General features: G+C 53.2%; 1 protein-coding gene across 25 annotated transcripts in view; it reads left to right on the top strand.

The window, feature by feature from the left end:
• The window catches only part of BRD9 (bromodomain containing 9), a 29,061-nt gene that overhangs the window by 806 nt on the left and 15,010 nt on the right, over window positions 1-13,245 (top strand). For 6 of the 25 annotated variants that reach the window (NM_001375877.1, XM_024446200.2, XM_047417600.1 and 3 more), the window contains exons 2-10: window positions 142-356; window positions 709-841; window positions 2,349-2,409; window positions 2,831-2,975; window positions 4,525-4,635; window positions 5,229-5,404; window positions 7,926-8,058; window positions 10,814-10,889; window positions 12,107-12,202. In NM_001375877.1, the coding sequence (NP_001362806.1) occupies window positions 142-356; window positions 709-841; window positions 2,349-2,409; window positions 2,831-2,975; window positions 4,525-4,635; window positions 5,229-5,404; window positions 7,926-8,058; window positions 10,814-10,889; window positions 12,107-12,202 (1,146 nt within the window). Of the gene's footprint in view, window positions 1-141; window positions 357-708; window positions 848-2,229; window positions 2,410-2,830; window positions 2,976-4,524; window positions 4,636-5,228; window positions 5,405-5,859; window positions 5,923-7,925; window positions 8,059-8,545; window positions 8,630-10,159; window positions 10,250-10,813; window positions 10,890-12,106; window positions 12,203-13,245 lie in introns of those variants that run through there. The other 19 variants (NM_023924.5, XM_024446198.2, XM_047417602.1 and 16 more) reach the window with 13 other exon arrangements.

Below are 13,245 nucleotides of genomic sequence, written 5' to 3'. Positions count from 1 at the left end.
CCCTTCCGTCTTTCCCTGCTGGTTGGCAGCCCCGCTGTACTCCTTAGGGAGGCCTTTCCCTCTTAGCACCTTCACGTCTCACCTGGCTGCGTGGCGTTTGCACCTGAGCACGCGGGTAGAACTCGGTCTGTGTCTGTGCAGATTATGCCGACAAGCCCCTGGAGAAGCCTCTAAAGCTAGTCCTGAAGGTCGGAGGAAGTGAAGTGACTGAACTCTCAGGATCCGGCCACGACTCCAGTTACTATGATGACAGGTCAGACCATGAGCGAGAGAGGCACAAAGAAAAGAAAAAGAAGAAGAAGAAGAAGTCCGAGAAGGAGAAGCATCTGGACGATGAGGAAAGAAGGAAGCGAAAGGTAAAGGAGCAGCGGCGGTGGCCCGGACGCTGCCCACGAGGAGCCCGTGGGGAGCCTGGTCCCAGGACCCAGGCAGAGTGCGCCTGCGTGGCTGGAGGAGGGGAGGGGGTGTTCCGTTGGTAGCAAAACGCGAACCGCTGAGGCCCGCAGACTCAGTTCCAGGATCCTGGGTGTGCTGTTCCTCAGCAGACCCTGCCAGGGTCTCTGTGAGGAGGGAGCCTGGCATGAGGAGGATCTCGGAGGGGGTTTCCCTTAGTTCTGTCCCTCCCCTGAGAACTGCGAGGGGATTGGGCAGACCTGTCCGGATCCCGCCTACTCCTGCCTTTCTCACTCCCTTGACTCTGCCGCCCAGGAAGAGAAGAAGCGGAAGCGAGAGAGGGAGCACTGTGACACGGAGGGAGAGGCTGACGACTTTGATCCTGGGAAGAAGGTGGAGGTGGAGCCGCCCCCAGATCGGCCAGTCCGAGCGTGCCGGACACAGCCAGGCAAGGGTGCACTTTTAGAGACTCTCCTGGTGTTCACAGCTCATCGTTGTAAATGAGGGGTCGGCACCGTGTCCTGTTGCTTTGGGGAGAAGCATGGGAGGGAGGAGAGCTGGTATTTCCAGGGCCTCATCCCAGGTGTCCTCTGGCCTGAGGTTTCCTCCGGTGTCTCTGAATGTCTAGAGCAAGGCGTGGCCAGTTACCACTGGTGCCCTTCAGTTTTGTTTTTTAACTTGTTAGCTAAGGATGGCTTATATGTTTTTTAAGCGTTCATAAAAAGAAACAAAAAGGCATCTCCACAGAGACCAATCGTATGTGACCCGCAAAGCCTAGACTGTTTTTTGTCTGGCCTTTATGTAAAAAGTTTGCCAGCCCTGGGTCTTGAAGTTTGGTTTTGTTTGCACTTAAGACAGTATTGGAACAGTAGCCCCATCTGGGTCAGACTGGTAAGAGAGATGCATGTCAGTGAAAACGCAGGTAATTCCCCTTGGGAAGAAGGGACCTCGAGGCCCAAATGGTGGGTCTGAAGTTGCTGAAAGTGACCATAGGCTGAGACAAAGGAAGCTGGAGGCCTTTAGTAGAATCTCTGTCGTGGGCACCATCTGCGAAGGATGGCATTTGGCTGGAATTTCCAGTTGACAAGGACTTGCCCTCTGAGTTCTCTTTGTCCCCAGCCTTCCTGTGCACAACTCACAGTGATGAGGCATTTGTACCTAAGACAAGGGGTGTCTCTTCCCAGCAACTCTCAGCATCCAGTGGTTCCTGGATTATAGGGAAACAGACGGCTGGGCTTTGGGACATGGGACATCAGGGAGTGGGGAGGCTAGTGCTGCGATCATTCAGGCCGTCAGAAACTGTCTGAGGCCTGCTGGCTCCACTGAAGGAAAGTTCTGGAAAGCTGGTGGCCTTCTGAGCTCCTGTGGTCATTTGGCTCTTCAGGCACTTTCTTTTTTTAATTTATTTTTGAAACATGGTCTTGCTGTGTCGCCTAGGCTGGAGTGCAGTGTCGTGATTCACTCCTGGGCTCAGATAACCCTGGGCTCAAGCGATCCTCCCACCTCAGCCTCCCAAGTTGCTGGGACTACAGGCACGCACCACCACGCCGGCCATTTATTTACTTTTTGTTGAATTTTAAGGGACCTCAAGTGAAATAATAATCGGTGAATTCAGGATCAACCTTTATGTCCAGAGCGTTTGTTCCGTCGTCCATTTCTTGTCTAGAGTAGTGGTATGAGCTGAAAACATTGCTAAGTGATCACCACATATTGTTGATGTAAGGGCTACCGGTTATTACAAGAGATTTTTATGACTCCTGCTGTGGGGGTGCCCTTTCTACCCGGCTGAGCTTGGTGGGAGCCAAGGCTGAGTCGGATGTATCTTTATATCCCCAGTTCTCGGTGGAACTTAAAATGCTGTGAGACACCAGACAGACAGATACTGTGAACTTGGAGCTCTCTAATGAAGGGATACCAAAGTCTTGTATTCAATTTTTTTTTCCTTAAATTGTCAGCCGAAAATGAGAGCACACCTATTCAGCAACTCCTGGAACACTTCCTCCGCCAGCTTCAGAGGTAAACCGGGGCGTTTCTGAAGAGCTAGTGTCTGGGGGGGTGTGGTGTCATCTTTTCTGAGGCCTTATTCCCCACGCCAGCCTCGTCAGCTGTGAAACAGACCCTGCACCTTCTCTTGGTGACTCCCAGTCCACTTCGGGGTGCGTAGGAAGAGTTCATGAACTCATTAGTGGCTCACTCTGAAGTCAGAGTAGAGTGAGGGAAGTCAAGGCTAGAGCTGGGACATTGATGGCCGCCAGGATGCGTTGGGGGAATTTTTATTATATCTGAAATACCTATCACAATAAATTAAAAGACGCTCGTAACTTTTTTATTTTTAAGAAACAAAATTCGGTCAGTTGTATCCAATTTTTGGATTGTAAGAGATTTTGTATCATTTAGAAATCTAGATTTTTCCGCTTTAAGATGTCTTTGCTTTCAGAAAAGATCCCCATGGATTTTTTGCTTTTCCTGTCACGGATGCAATTGCTCCTGGATATTCAATGATAATAAAACATCCCATGGATTTTGGCACCATGAAAGACAAAATTGTAGCTAATGAATACAAGTCAGTTACGGAATTTAAGGTAAGTTACTTTCATTGCCCGAAGTAATCGTGGCATAGTTCTGTGTATTCATGTCTTGTGAAGACTTCATTCACCTTAGATCATTTCTAGTTTTTGAGCTTTCACAGGTGTTTCTGTGTTCGGATGATGTTTTACAGACACAGCATTAAGGAAATGATTGGTCGTGAACGTTTTCTCTGTGCTTTGGTCTAGAAACTAGGTCAGGTTGCACGCTGTTAGAAGTCTGTTTCTTTTCTTTCTAAGTTACTGCGCTGGCGTAAATAGGACATGTTGTTTCAAGCAGTGAGGTGTCCGGTGTGGCACGGCTTGAGACTAGACATTTTTAAAAACATACTTCTTTTTAATTCTTAGTTTTGTCTTACACTAATTGAGCATTTAGTTTTTTTAGCATAGTAAGTTTTTCTGTCTCCTGAGTACTTTGCTCTTAGCTCTGTTTCTTGCTACTGGCTGTGAGAATTAGCAACTGCTCATTGGTTTTGCAACCCAGGGGAAGAAAGCAAAACAAATGCTTGATAAAGTTGGCATTAGTGTAGTTTAGAAAGGCATTAGATTTCTCTCTTAGGTTCCATTCCCCTGGGGAAAGCTTGACTTTTCTATTTTATGCTTACTGAAGGGTTTGCTGACTCACAGAAACACAACAGAACAGACTTAAAGGAGAGTGGGAGAAAAGGAAACTCGATGAGAGGATCAGGCAGCGCCTGAGGGTAGATGTTAAGAGCACTCCATGCCCGAAAGCCCTCTGTATTCCCTGCTTCGGGCCCCAGTCTGGCCATTCCTAGCAACAAAGTGAGAAGGGGAGCAGCATTCACTCCGTGGAGTGTCCGCAGTGGAGTCTTCAGGGGAGGGGCTCCACAGCCTCGGGCCGGGCCCTAGGGCTGCTGGCTCTGGAACCGGGACTTGGGGAGGGTCCAGATGGCACGTTCTCAGTTAGGGTGGCCGGCCTCCGGGGTCATGCTCCAGCCTGACGTTGGTACTCACCTTTGAGAGGCCTGTGCTGAGGAAACTGGCCTCTCATAATAAAATACTGATGCTTCCGTATTTTCACCATAAATTACAAAATAAGGTTGTCCTTTTGTGGGGCAAAGTCTTTTTCTAGTAGTTTGAGGGAACCATTTGGTGACAGAATTTTAAATTCGATTCTGTGGAGAAATTCTAGAGATAGAGGCTATCACTGTGCCGCACGCCTGCCTTCATCCCTTGACTTGCACTTGAAAGAATCGGGTCGTTGCTTCTCGTTCCTGTTTATGTTCTGGAGAAATGCAAGAAGCGCAGGAAACGCTTTTTCCTCACACAGCATTTGTATGTGATGCTTAGAAAGAAGTTACAGGCTTGGCCAACTGTTTGCTGTAATATTTTTCATGCAAGACCAATGTGCAACTAAGAAAACTTCTCTTAAGTTCTTAAACGTTATGTTTAGATCAGAGAGCCCAGTTGAATTGTTTTCTACTCGATTGTAGCTTTTTCCTTTTGGTCTCTTGGTAGTCATCTAGAGCTTTGCTGTTGTCTGTGGCATTTCAAACCTGATAAGTCTTTCCTGTTTTCTTTTCAGGCAGATTTCAAGCTGATGTGTGATAATGCAATGACATACAATAGGCCAGATACCGTGTACTACAAGTTGGCGAAGAAGATCCTTCACGCAGGCTTTAAGATGATGAGCAAAGTAAGAAACTCACTGGCAGCAGCGAGCTACGGAAAGCAGGGGCTCTGCCCCCCGTCGCTTGTGCCCGAAGGGAGCCTCACAGTGAACACGTGCTCCATCCACCCGCCACCCTCATGGTGTTGCCCCCTTTGCTCTAGGGTAGACGTCCCCGGCCGCCCTCTCTGCTCATGACCTAGCTGTAACATCTCATTGAGGGTTGGTGGAAAGTTCCGCATCTCTTGATCTTAAGCCTGGGTGTCAGGTGTCAGTCTTGCTGGATGGCAGCCAGCATTGCGGGCTTGTTTTGCGTGACTGCCTCACTGAATCCAGACGGGACATCCTTGTCTTCCTTGGCCATCCTGAGTGGCTTCCCAGATCTGTGCCGTGAGCCAGGCTGCATGCATCCCACGTAGGAGAAGGTAAAGGGGAGGTGCGGCACCTGCCGCGCTCTGGCGGTGGGTCAAGCCCCCACAACCACCTCCCGCTGCTCCGCCGTGGAAAGTTAGCTCTTAGGCCAGGTGAGGCTGTGACCATCCCCATCCCATCCCATCGTCACGGCACCCTGGCTGTGAGGGAGAGGTAAATCCCTGCTGCTCTGTCCTTTCTGATTCTAGGAGCGGCTGTTAGCTTTGAAGCGCAGCATGTCGTTTATGCAGGACATGGATTTTTCTCAGCAGGCAGCTCTTTTGGGCAATGAAGATACAGCTGTTGAGGAACCTGTCCCTGAAGTTGTACCAGTACAAGTAGAAACTGCCAAGAAATCCAAAAAGCCGAGTAGAGAAGTTATCAGGTAAAGGTTCTGTGGAAACCACATTTGCTTTTGGAGTTGAGCACCATAGCCAGGAAAGCAGGTGCCTTGTAGGGGAGAGTGAGTGAGTGAGAGAACGGATGTCATGTCACATAGACATTCTTGGTGTAGCTTATTCTGGCAGGAGGAGTGTGGCCAGACAGCCCCTCCTGCCCACCGGCCACGTGCACTCTCTGACCCAGGTGTGGTACCCAAGCCCGTCCGATCACCCCTGCCCCCAACTGCTAGTGACTGGTGGTCTCTGTCTCTACACGCCGTTAAGATCATTGGCCCCTCCCTCCCCTGCACAGCGCCTGCCGGCAGCCAAGGCTGTGCCCTTGTCCCAGACTGTGCCGCACAAGCGGGCTGACTTTGGGCAGCCAGCATTGGCAGGGGGCTTCTTTGTTGCTGTGGGGCAGATGCACACTCCTGAACTGCTCGCTTCTGTGTCTGTGTAGACGCTGGAGTGGAGCAGGTGCAGGCCTGTGGTCAGGAAGGTGTGGATGCTGCGGGGGAAGCAGGTGAGGACTGCAGGCCACAGCTCCCTGTAGCTCTGCTCCCTCCCACAGGGAGCAGCCGACTTGGCTGGTCCTTCAGGGAACCTTCTTCCTTTTTTTCTAAACCCCAGAGTGGTTTTCATGGGGGCTCTTTGTCTCATGGTGGCTGAGCATTGAGATTGTATCAAAGTCCGTATCACACGTCATTCCTGTAGACGCTCCTCCACCTATGTGAGGTGGCTGCCTGATAGGACCAAACAAAGCGAGAGTATCGCCAGGGGCCTTAGAGGCACCAAGAGCACTTAACATAGCCTGCAGCGGGCAGAAGCGCCTGGCACAGAGCCTGCTTCATCACGTGTCACTTGCTGAGTGCAGGCCCCAGAGAGCGCAGTCTCAGGACATCCACCCTCATGGCCGTGTGTCTGACAGCACTGTGGCTCGCGGTCTTCCCAGTATCCTGAGAGGACTGGCCTGTTGCCATCCTGGGGACAGATCAGATTTGAAGGATGGTTTCTGCTGAAGTGTATTGCTTTTGTGCCATCTTGTGGGAAGTCAGGGACCGTCTGGAGTTGGTACTGAACGTCCTTGAGGCAATTGTGATGGTCACGGCCCTCCATTGTTTGTTTCCTTCTCACATGTGTATGGGACTCACGTGGATTTAACAGGTGGGGCGGCAGCGGTGCTGGGCTCGGTGCTTCTGCTCTGAGCAGCTCCCTCCAACCGTCAAAAGGGAGAGTGGTCTTGAGACCAGCCCCTCAGGTCCTGCAGCCTTGGCTTAGGAGACAGGGTGCGCTGCGTGGCCAGAGTGTGTTGCTTGGCAACGGACGACAGTCCCCTAAGGCGGTCTCCCCACGTGCGTTGCATTTCCCACCCCGCTGCCGTGTGAACACTCACTGCGTGGTTGGCTGGTGGCTGTGTCCGGCCTCAGCCCCCGACTCGAGTGTGCTGCTGGCCTTCAGGGGTCGGGGTTTCATGGCCGCCCTTTGCCGCCTCATGGTGACTGAGCATCGAGGGGGAATTGAAGTTGGTGCTGGTCAGCATGCTCAGCTGCGGTGGGGTTGTGTCCTGGCAGACCCACCCCAGGTTGGTTTTGGGTGTCTCTGGTGCTGCAGCTTCACCCTTGCCTGTGGGATCCAGGCCCTTTAGATGGATCCCCAGCTGTCAGTCTGCAGGCAGGAGAGCGTGCCGAGCTCAGGCAGTCACCTTCACCTAGTGTCACAGCAGTGCGCATCGGTAATGGGCTCACGCAGGTGCCTGAGTGGAGCCCCTCCCTGCGGAGCTCATGGGGCTGTGACTCCTGTGTAGGGTTGCCAGGTTGTCACTGTAGGTCAGGCAAGGGCAGGGCCGCTCTCATGGGCAGGGCTTGTCCTGGGCCTGCACCTGGCCCTAGGCCACTCAGACCCATGCCCAGGCAAGTGCCCAGGGTGGGAAGGAGCCCACTCGCTTGCTTCTAGAACCTTCCACACTCCTTGGGTGCTACAGCCTGTGCCCCTCAGCTGTTGGAGAACTGCTTCAGGTGGAACCTGGGACCACTTGCTGACGTCCTTGTGTGTTCTTTGTGCCACCCAGTGGCCACAGCAGAGGGGGCTGCTGTCCACCCAGCCCAGCAGCACCAGACCACACCCGAGCAGCCCCGCCTATCCTGCCTTGCTGTGAACCCTGCGTAGTCAGGGGTGGCTTTTCCAGTCACTTTTCTGATGGGGCCTTTAATAACTAACCAGTGTGGGCATCTGTTACTTTGTTGCTTTTGTTGCTAAAGCACTTTAACTGAGTTTGCACTGCGTTGAAAAATAGGAAGTCTGTCTACTTGGCTTACACTTACCCTTTATTTTAATAAAAGTGTCTTAATTTGTCATTTGGTTAGGGTGAAAAGGGATGCTTTGAGACCTAAAAGGAGTTAAGTATGCTCTGCCAGCTCTGTGTCTGAGGGCAGGGTCGGTAGAAGCTGGGTTAGGTGCCGACGCATGGGGAGCAGGTGTGCGGTGGGGACGCTGCCTCCAGGTGACTTGGTTGTCCCCACCTCACAGCTGCATGTTTGAGCCTGAAGGGAATGCCTGCAGCTTGACGGACAGTACCGCAGAGGAGCACGTGCTGGCGCTGGTGGAGCACGCAGCTGACGAAGCTCGGGACAGGATCAACCGGTTCCTCCCAGGCGGCAAGGTAGTGCTCTGTGGCCACCGAGAGAGGGTGCCACGTGGCCCCAGACTCTCTGTGTGCCTCTCCTTCTGGGTTGGTGCTGTGTGATCTAGCACAGCCACCGGGATCCAGAGGTCAGCGTGGGGCCCTGACGGGAGGTCCGGATCAGACACACATAAGGCTGGTCTCTTCAGTCGGGGTCCAGGTGCCTCTGGCAGGGCTGCCGCTGGTGTTTCATGCATCGTGGAGGCCACGTGGTCACTGACCTCATTTCCTTGATGGAGGCCCTGCTGCAGGCTAATCCTTTCTCTTGGAGTGAATGCTGACTTCTGTGTCTCTGTCACTGGGTGTTGACGTGAGGCACCGCCCTTGTTATTCCAGTGGGGGTGCTGGTGTTGGATCCGACAGATGGTCCATAATAGGCCACCGACTGTGTTCACGTGGCTCCTGCCACAGATGGTCTTTGTGGTGGTGGGGCCCACTCAGCTGACCACGCTCTCCTTTCTGGCAGGAGACGTTCTAGACCCAGTGTCTTCAGTGGAAACAGAGCACAGGCTGTCTGCAGTCTCAGGCTTCCTAGCAGCCCTGATAAGAGAAGTAGAGCAATGCAGGTGACATTAATCCTTGCAGGTTTCATTTCACCTCTATATCCAACATTTTATCTCAACATGTAGTCTGTAGAAAACGTTAATTTGAGCTTTATGGGTTTTTTTCATATTAAGTCTTCAAAATGCACATGGGATGGGATGTAAAGAACGCTGAAGTGGGGGCATTTCAGAGGTGTCTGCTGCTTTTTGCCTGTGCCTGCTGGGAAGTTGCAGTGCTCTGTGTGGCTTGCGTGTTGCGAGGTTGCGGTCTGCGTGGCTCACGTGTTGGGAGGTCGTGGTCTGCGTGGCTCACGTGTTGGGAAGTTGCAGTGGTCTGTATGGCTTGCGTGTTGGGAGGTTGCAGTCTGTGTGGCCCGTGTGTTGGGAGGTTGTGGTCTGCGTGGCTTGTGTGTTGGGAGGTTGTGGTTCACGTGGCTTGCATGTTGGGAAGTTGCTGTGGTCTGCGTGGCTTATGTGTTGGGAGGTTGTGGTTTGTGTGGCTTGTGTGTTGGGAGGTTGCAGTCTGCGTGGCTCGTGTGTTGGGAAGTTGCTGTGGTCTCTGGCTTATGTGTTGGGAAGTTGCTGTGGTTTGCGTGGCTCGTGTGTTGGGAGGTTGCAGTTTGCGTGGCTTGCGTGTTGGGAAGTTGCTGTGGTCTGTGTGGCTTATGTGTTGGGAGGTTGTGGGTTTGTGTGGCTCAAGTGTTGGGAGGTTGTGGTCTGCGTGGCTCACGTGTGGGGCGGTTGCTTGGCTCGCCTGTTGGGAGTTTGTGGTTTGCATGGCTTGTGTGTTGGAAAGTTGCTGTGGTCTGTGTGGCTTATCTGTTGGGAGGTTGTGGTTTTTGTGGCTTGCGTGTTGGGGGGTTGTGGTCTGTGTGGCTCACGTGTTGGGAGGTTGTGGTCTGCGTGGCTCACGTGTTGGGCAGTTGTCTGCTTGGCTCACGTGTTGGGAAGTTGTGGTCTGCGTGGCTCATGTGTTGGGAAGTTGTTTATGTGGCTTGTGTGCTGGAGGTTGTGGCCTGCGTGGCTCACGTGTTGGGCGGTTGTCTGCTTGGCTCATGTGTTGGGAAGTTGTGGTCTGCGTGGCTTGTGTGTTGGGAAGTTGTTTATGTGGCTTGTGTGCTGGAGGTTGTGGTCTACGTGGCTTGCACTGTAGTTCTTTTGGACAGCCTTGTTCTGCAGTCTGTGTTTCAGCCCTGGAATTGCCACATTCTCCAAGAAGCCCTGGTTTCTTGACTAGAGAGCCTTGTGTAGAAGCCAGGACCTGGGTTCTGGGTGAAGCCCTCTGCAGATAGAGCTGGGAGATGCCTGTTGTGTGTGTCTGCACCACATACATGGACACTGTGCAGAGGGATTCTGTTGGCACCTGTGTTTACATGGGTTGAAAACTGTTTTTACACGGAAACTTCCAGTTCCCTCGTGCCCCGTGGGTTCCGCCCACTTCTTCCCTTTCAGTTTTGTATCTGCGCCGTGAGGACTTGTCTCCTAATCTTCGTATCAACTCCGTGTCCCATTGAGCTGACCTTCCGCCTCTCCCCCAGGGCCCTGGCCATCCTGTGGGCTCTGAGACTTTGCATGGATCCGCGGTGGGGAGCTGCCCCCACACAAACGTCCGGCTCTTCTCAGGCCAGGTGGCTGCCCTGACATGGCATGATGTCCAGCGCATGGACGTCACCCTTGCACTGGAGCCCAGCCAACCGCTGCATGACAGCCCTCTTCCCCCTTGAACCCCAAGTCTGCACACACCAGTGCCTCCTCTTCCTGGATCCTCCTGATGGCCTGTACACAGAACTGGGGTGTGGGTGGTGGGTTTTTAAATGAAAACCAGTCCACACATGCTTGAGGGCTGGAGCCGCCTGCCGTCAGGGCAGTGCCATGCTGACCTGCTGACCGTTCCATTTTGTCAAGGCTCATGAGCAATTTTAAATGTTTACTCGTGGGTGAAGGTTTTTGTTTCAGCTGTACCCCCTATAGCAGGGCCATGGGGAGCCTAAGAGGTTCTCCTTGGCACCTGTGCGCGCTCTGCTGTTGCCGGTGAGTCTGAAATTCCAGGGAATGCCGTGAGGGGCCCTCTGGCGTTTGTTCTTGGACAAATGTGCTTTCACCCCCATTAAGCCCTGCTTGTTGGTCTTCATTTCATTTGTGCTGCGCTGCCCCTCCTGAGGGACAGACGCTCAGGCAGTGCTTCCTTCCAGATGGGCTATCTGAAGAGGAACGGGGACGGGAGCCTGCTCTACAGCGTGGTCAACACGGCCGAGCCGGACGCTGATGGTGGGTGCCCGCTCAGGGCTGGCTTTATGCTCTCCGTACACTGCTTTTTGGGCCTCCGTTGATATTCTGTAATGAAAAGCTGAGCCATGGCCATGGGGCAGCATGAGAGGCTGCCCGGCTTCCCGACCTTGCTCGCACCCCAACGTGACACGTGCGCTGAGTGGAGGTGTGGACGGCCATCTCGCGGGGCGGGGGTGCTGGTCAGACCTCGGTCAGGGCTCCTTGGGAGCAGCGGGACTCGAGCCATGTTCCTGAAAAGCTGCCGAGAGGCCTTTAAGGCCAAACCTCACTAGCATCAGGAAGGGTTCACATCCCGAGCTCAGTCTTCAGCAAAGACCAGAGTGCTGGCCCACCCTGCTCCTTGAATCTGGAAAGCAGTCTTAGAAGAGCTGTTAGATGATGACGTCAGGACAGTGTTGAAGGATGGTGCACACTAGGCCTGTCCAGCCCGTCAGGGGCACTTTGTTGGCCTGGAAGTAATTAAGAGGCTTGTCCTTTGAACGAAAGTGTGATCACTTGGGTTTGAAACGCACTCGCGGGCTCGCGTGAGGAACGTGCAGCCTGGCACGGGTTGCCTCTAGATTCCTGCTTCCCTCGCTCTCACCCTCATGCCTGCTGGTGGTCTTTCACCCAGCTCCACCATGCCAGCGTGGTTTTCTCCAGTGTGTGAAGGATAGAAACGGGCTGATCTATATAATCTTCAGCTTATTTTCCTAAAGAGGATGGACCGTTGATCCATATTTAGCTTATGAGAGTGTTGAGACCGAGGCAGCGGTTGGGAACTGAGGAACTCCTGCTCTGATCCCATGAGTGGTGTGTGGGTGGTGACTTGAGCATGGCAGACATGCTGTCAGATGCACGCGCTCCAGGTACACGCCACCGTTTCGCTGTTAGAACACGCAGGACAAGATTTCTTCTTGGAGTTGTTGAGTGATCCATTTGAAAATGTTCTCAAAGTATTGCTGGTGTGGTGGCCAAAGATGTGGTATTTTTTATTGTGTTGACTTTGGGGTGATAAAGAAATGAAATTGAAATGCAGTTAGTTTTGAGAATGGTAGTTGGCTTTTGCAAATTTGTTTTCAGGTGATCATTATAAAATCCCCCCACCTGCACCAATCACATCCACTGTGATGTGGAGAAAGGGCTCATGGCACTGCACTGGGGCACCGCGTTGGGGTCACACCTGCCACTCACGGCCCGCCATGTCCGTGTTGCAGAGGAGGAGACCCACCCGGTGGACTTGAGCTCGCTCTCCAGTAAGCTACTCCCAGGCTTCACCACGCTGGGCTTCAAAGACGAGAGAAGAAACAAAGGTAAATCCATAGTCCCGTCCCAGGAGCCAGCCGGAGCAGGGAAGGTGGCAGGGGTTTAGTGGAGTGATGGCAAATGCTGCTGATTCGTACTTCAGAGTTTCCTCACTGTACCTGGATTCATGTTTTCACATGGGTAAGATTGAGATCAGTTACAGTGACAGGAATGAAACTCGTGTTGGATGGGGACACACACAGCGGGCACCTTGGTTGCATCACTGGACTTCACCTTGGTCAGTGTTTTGGGGTCCTTGTGTTTCTGTCCCTGTCGCATTACAGAACATCCCTTCAGGGGTCAGAATGTGTGGCCCCTGGGCCTTGGGTCTGGCCTGTGTGTTCTCTCCATCTGCACTGCTGCCTCCTGGCTGCGCTGCTGCTGGGACCTCCTGCATGGCCCCACCCTCCACTTCTCCACCTCTGCTGGGTCCCTCCCATGCAGACAGCTGCATGGACACTGCTCCTGCCGGCCCTTTCTGCCTCAGCCACTCACACCATCTGCTAATGGGACAGCTCACTCTTCCCTCCAAACCATGGCCTTGGCTCAAGAGCTTCCTTGTTTCTGGAATGTTCTTTCCTCCAGCTCCAGGTGTTGAAATTCTGCCTGGTCTGGGTCTCCTGTTGAAGGACGCCCTCCACTGGGAAGGATCCTCTTGCCTTCACCACTTGTCTTCACCAGCCCCTGCTCCCCTCTTCCTCTTGGGGCTGTTGTGGTTGTTGATACTTTTTTTTTGTTGTGTTTGACACACATCTTCTTCTCACCCTCTAACACAGTTCTCAACCACAGCACTTTTGTCCCTGGAGATGTTGGCAGTGTCCAGAGGCGTGTTGATGGTCCCACTGGGGTTGGGGGTGCTGCTGGCACCAGATGGTAGGGAGATGCCAGGGGTGCTGCTCCACACCCTATGGGACACTGCACAGTACACCTGGCCTGTGTCCCCCACAGCGAGAGCTGGCCCTGGGCAGGCGTGGTCCCTGCGGTGTGTGTTGGTTGGGATCCTCCACAGTGACAGACGGTGCGCTCTGCCCACGTTTCCACACAGCTCTTT

The sequence above is a fragment of the Homo sapiens genome, chromosome 5 (genome assembly GCF_000001405.40).
Source record: "Homo sapiens chromosome 5, GRCh38.p14 Primary Assembly".
In the NCBI taxonomy this organism is placed as follows: domain Eukaryota; kingdom Metazoa; phylum Chordata; class Mammalia; order Primates; family Hominidae; genus Homo; species Homo sapiens.
This window is presented reverse-complemented; position numbering and strand designations above follow the sequence as displayed.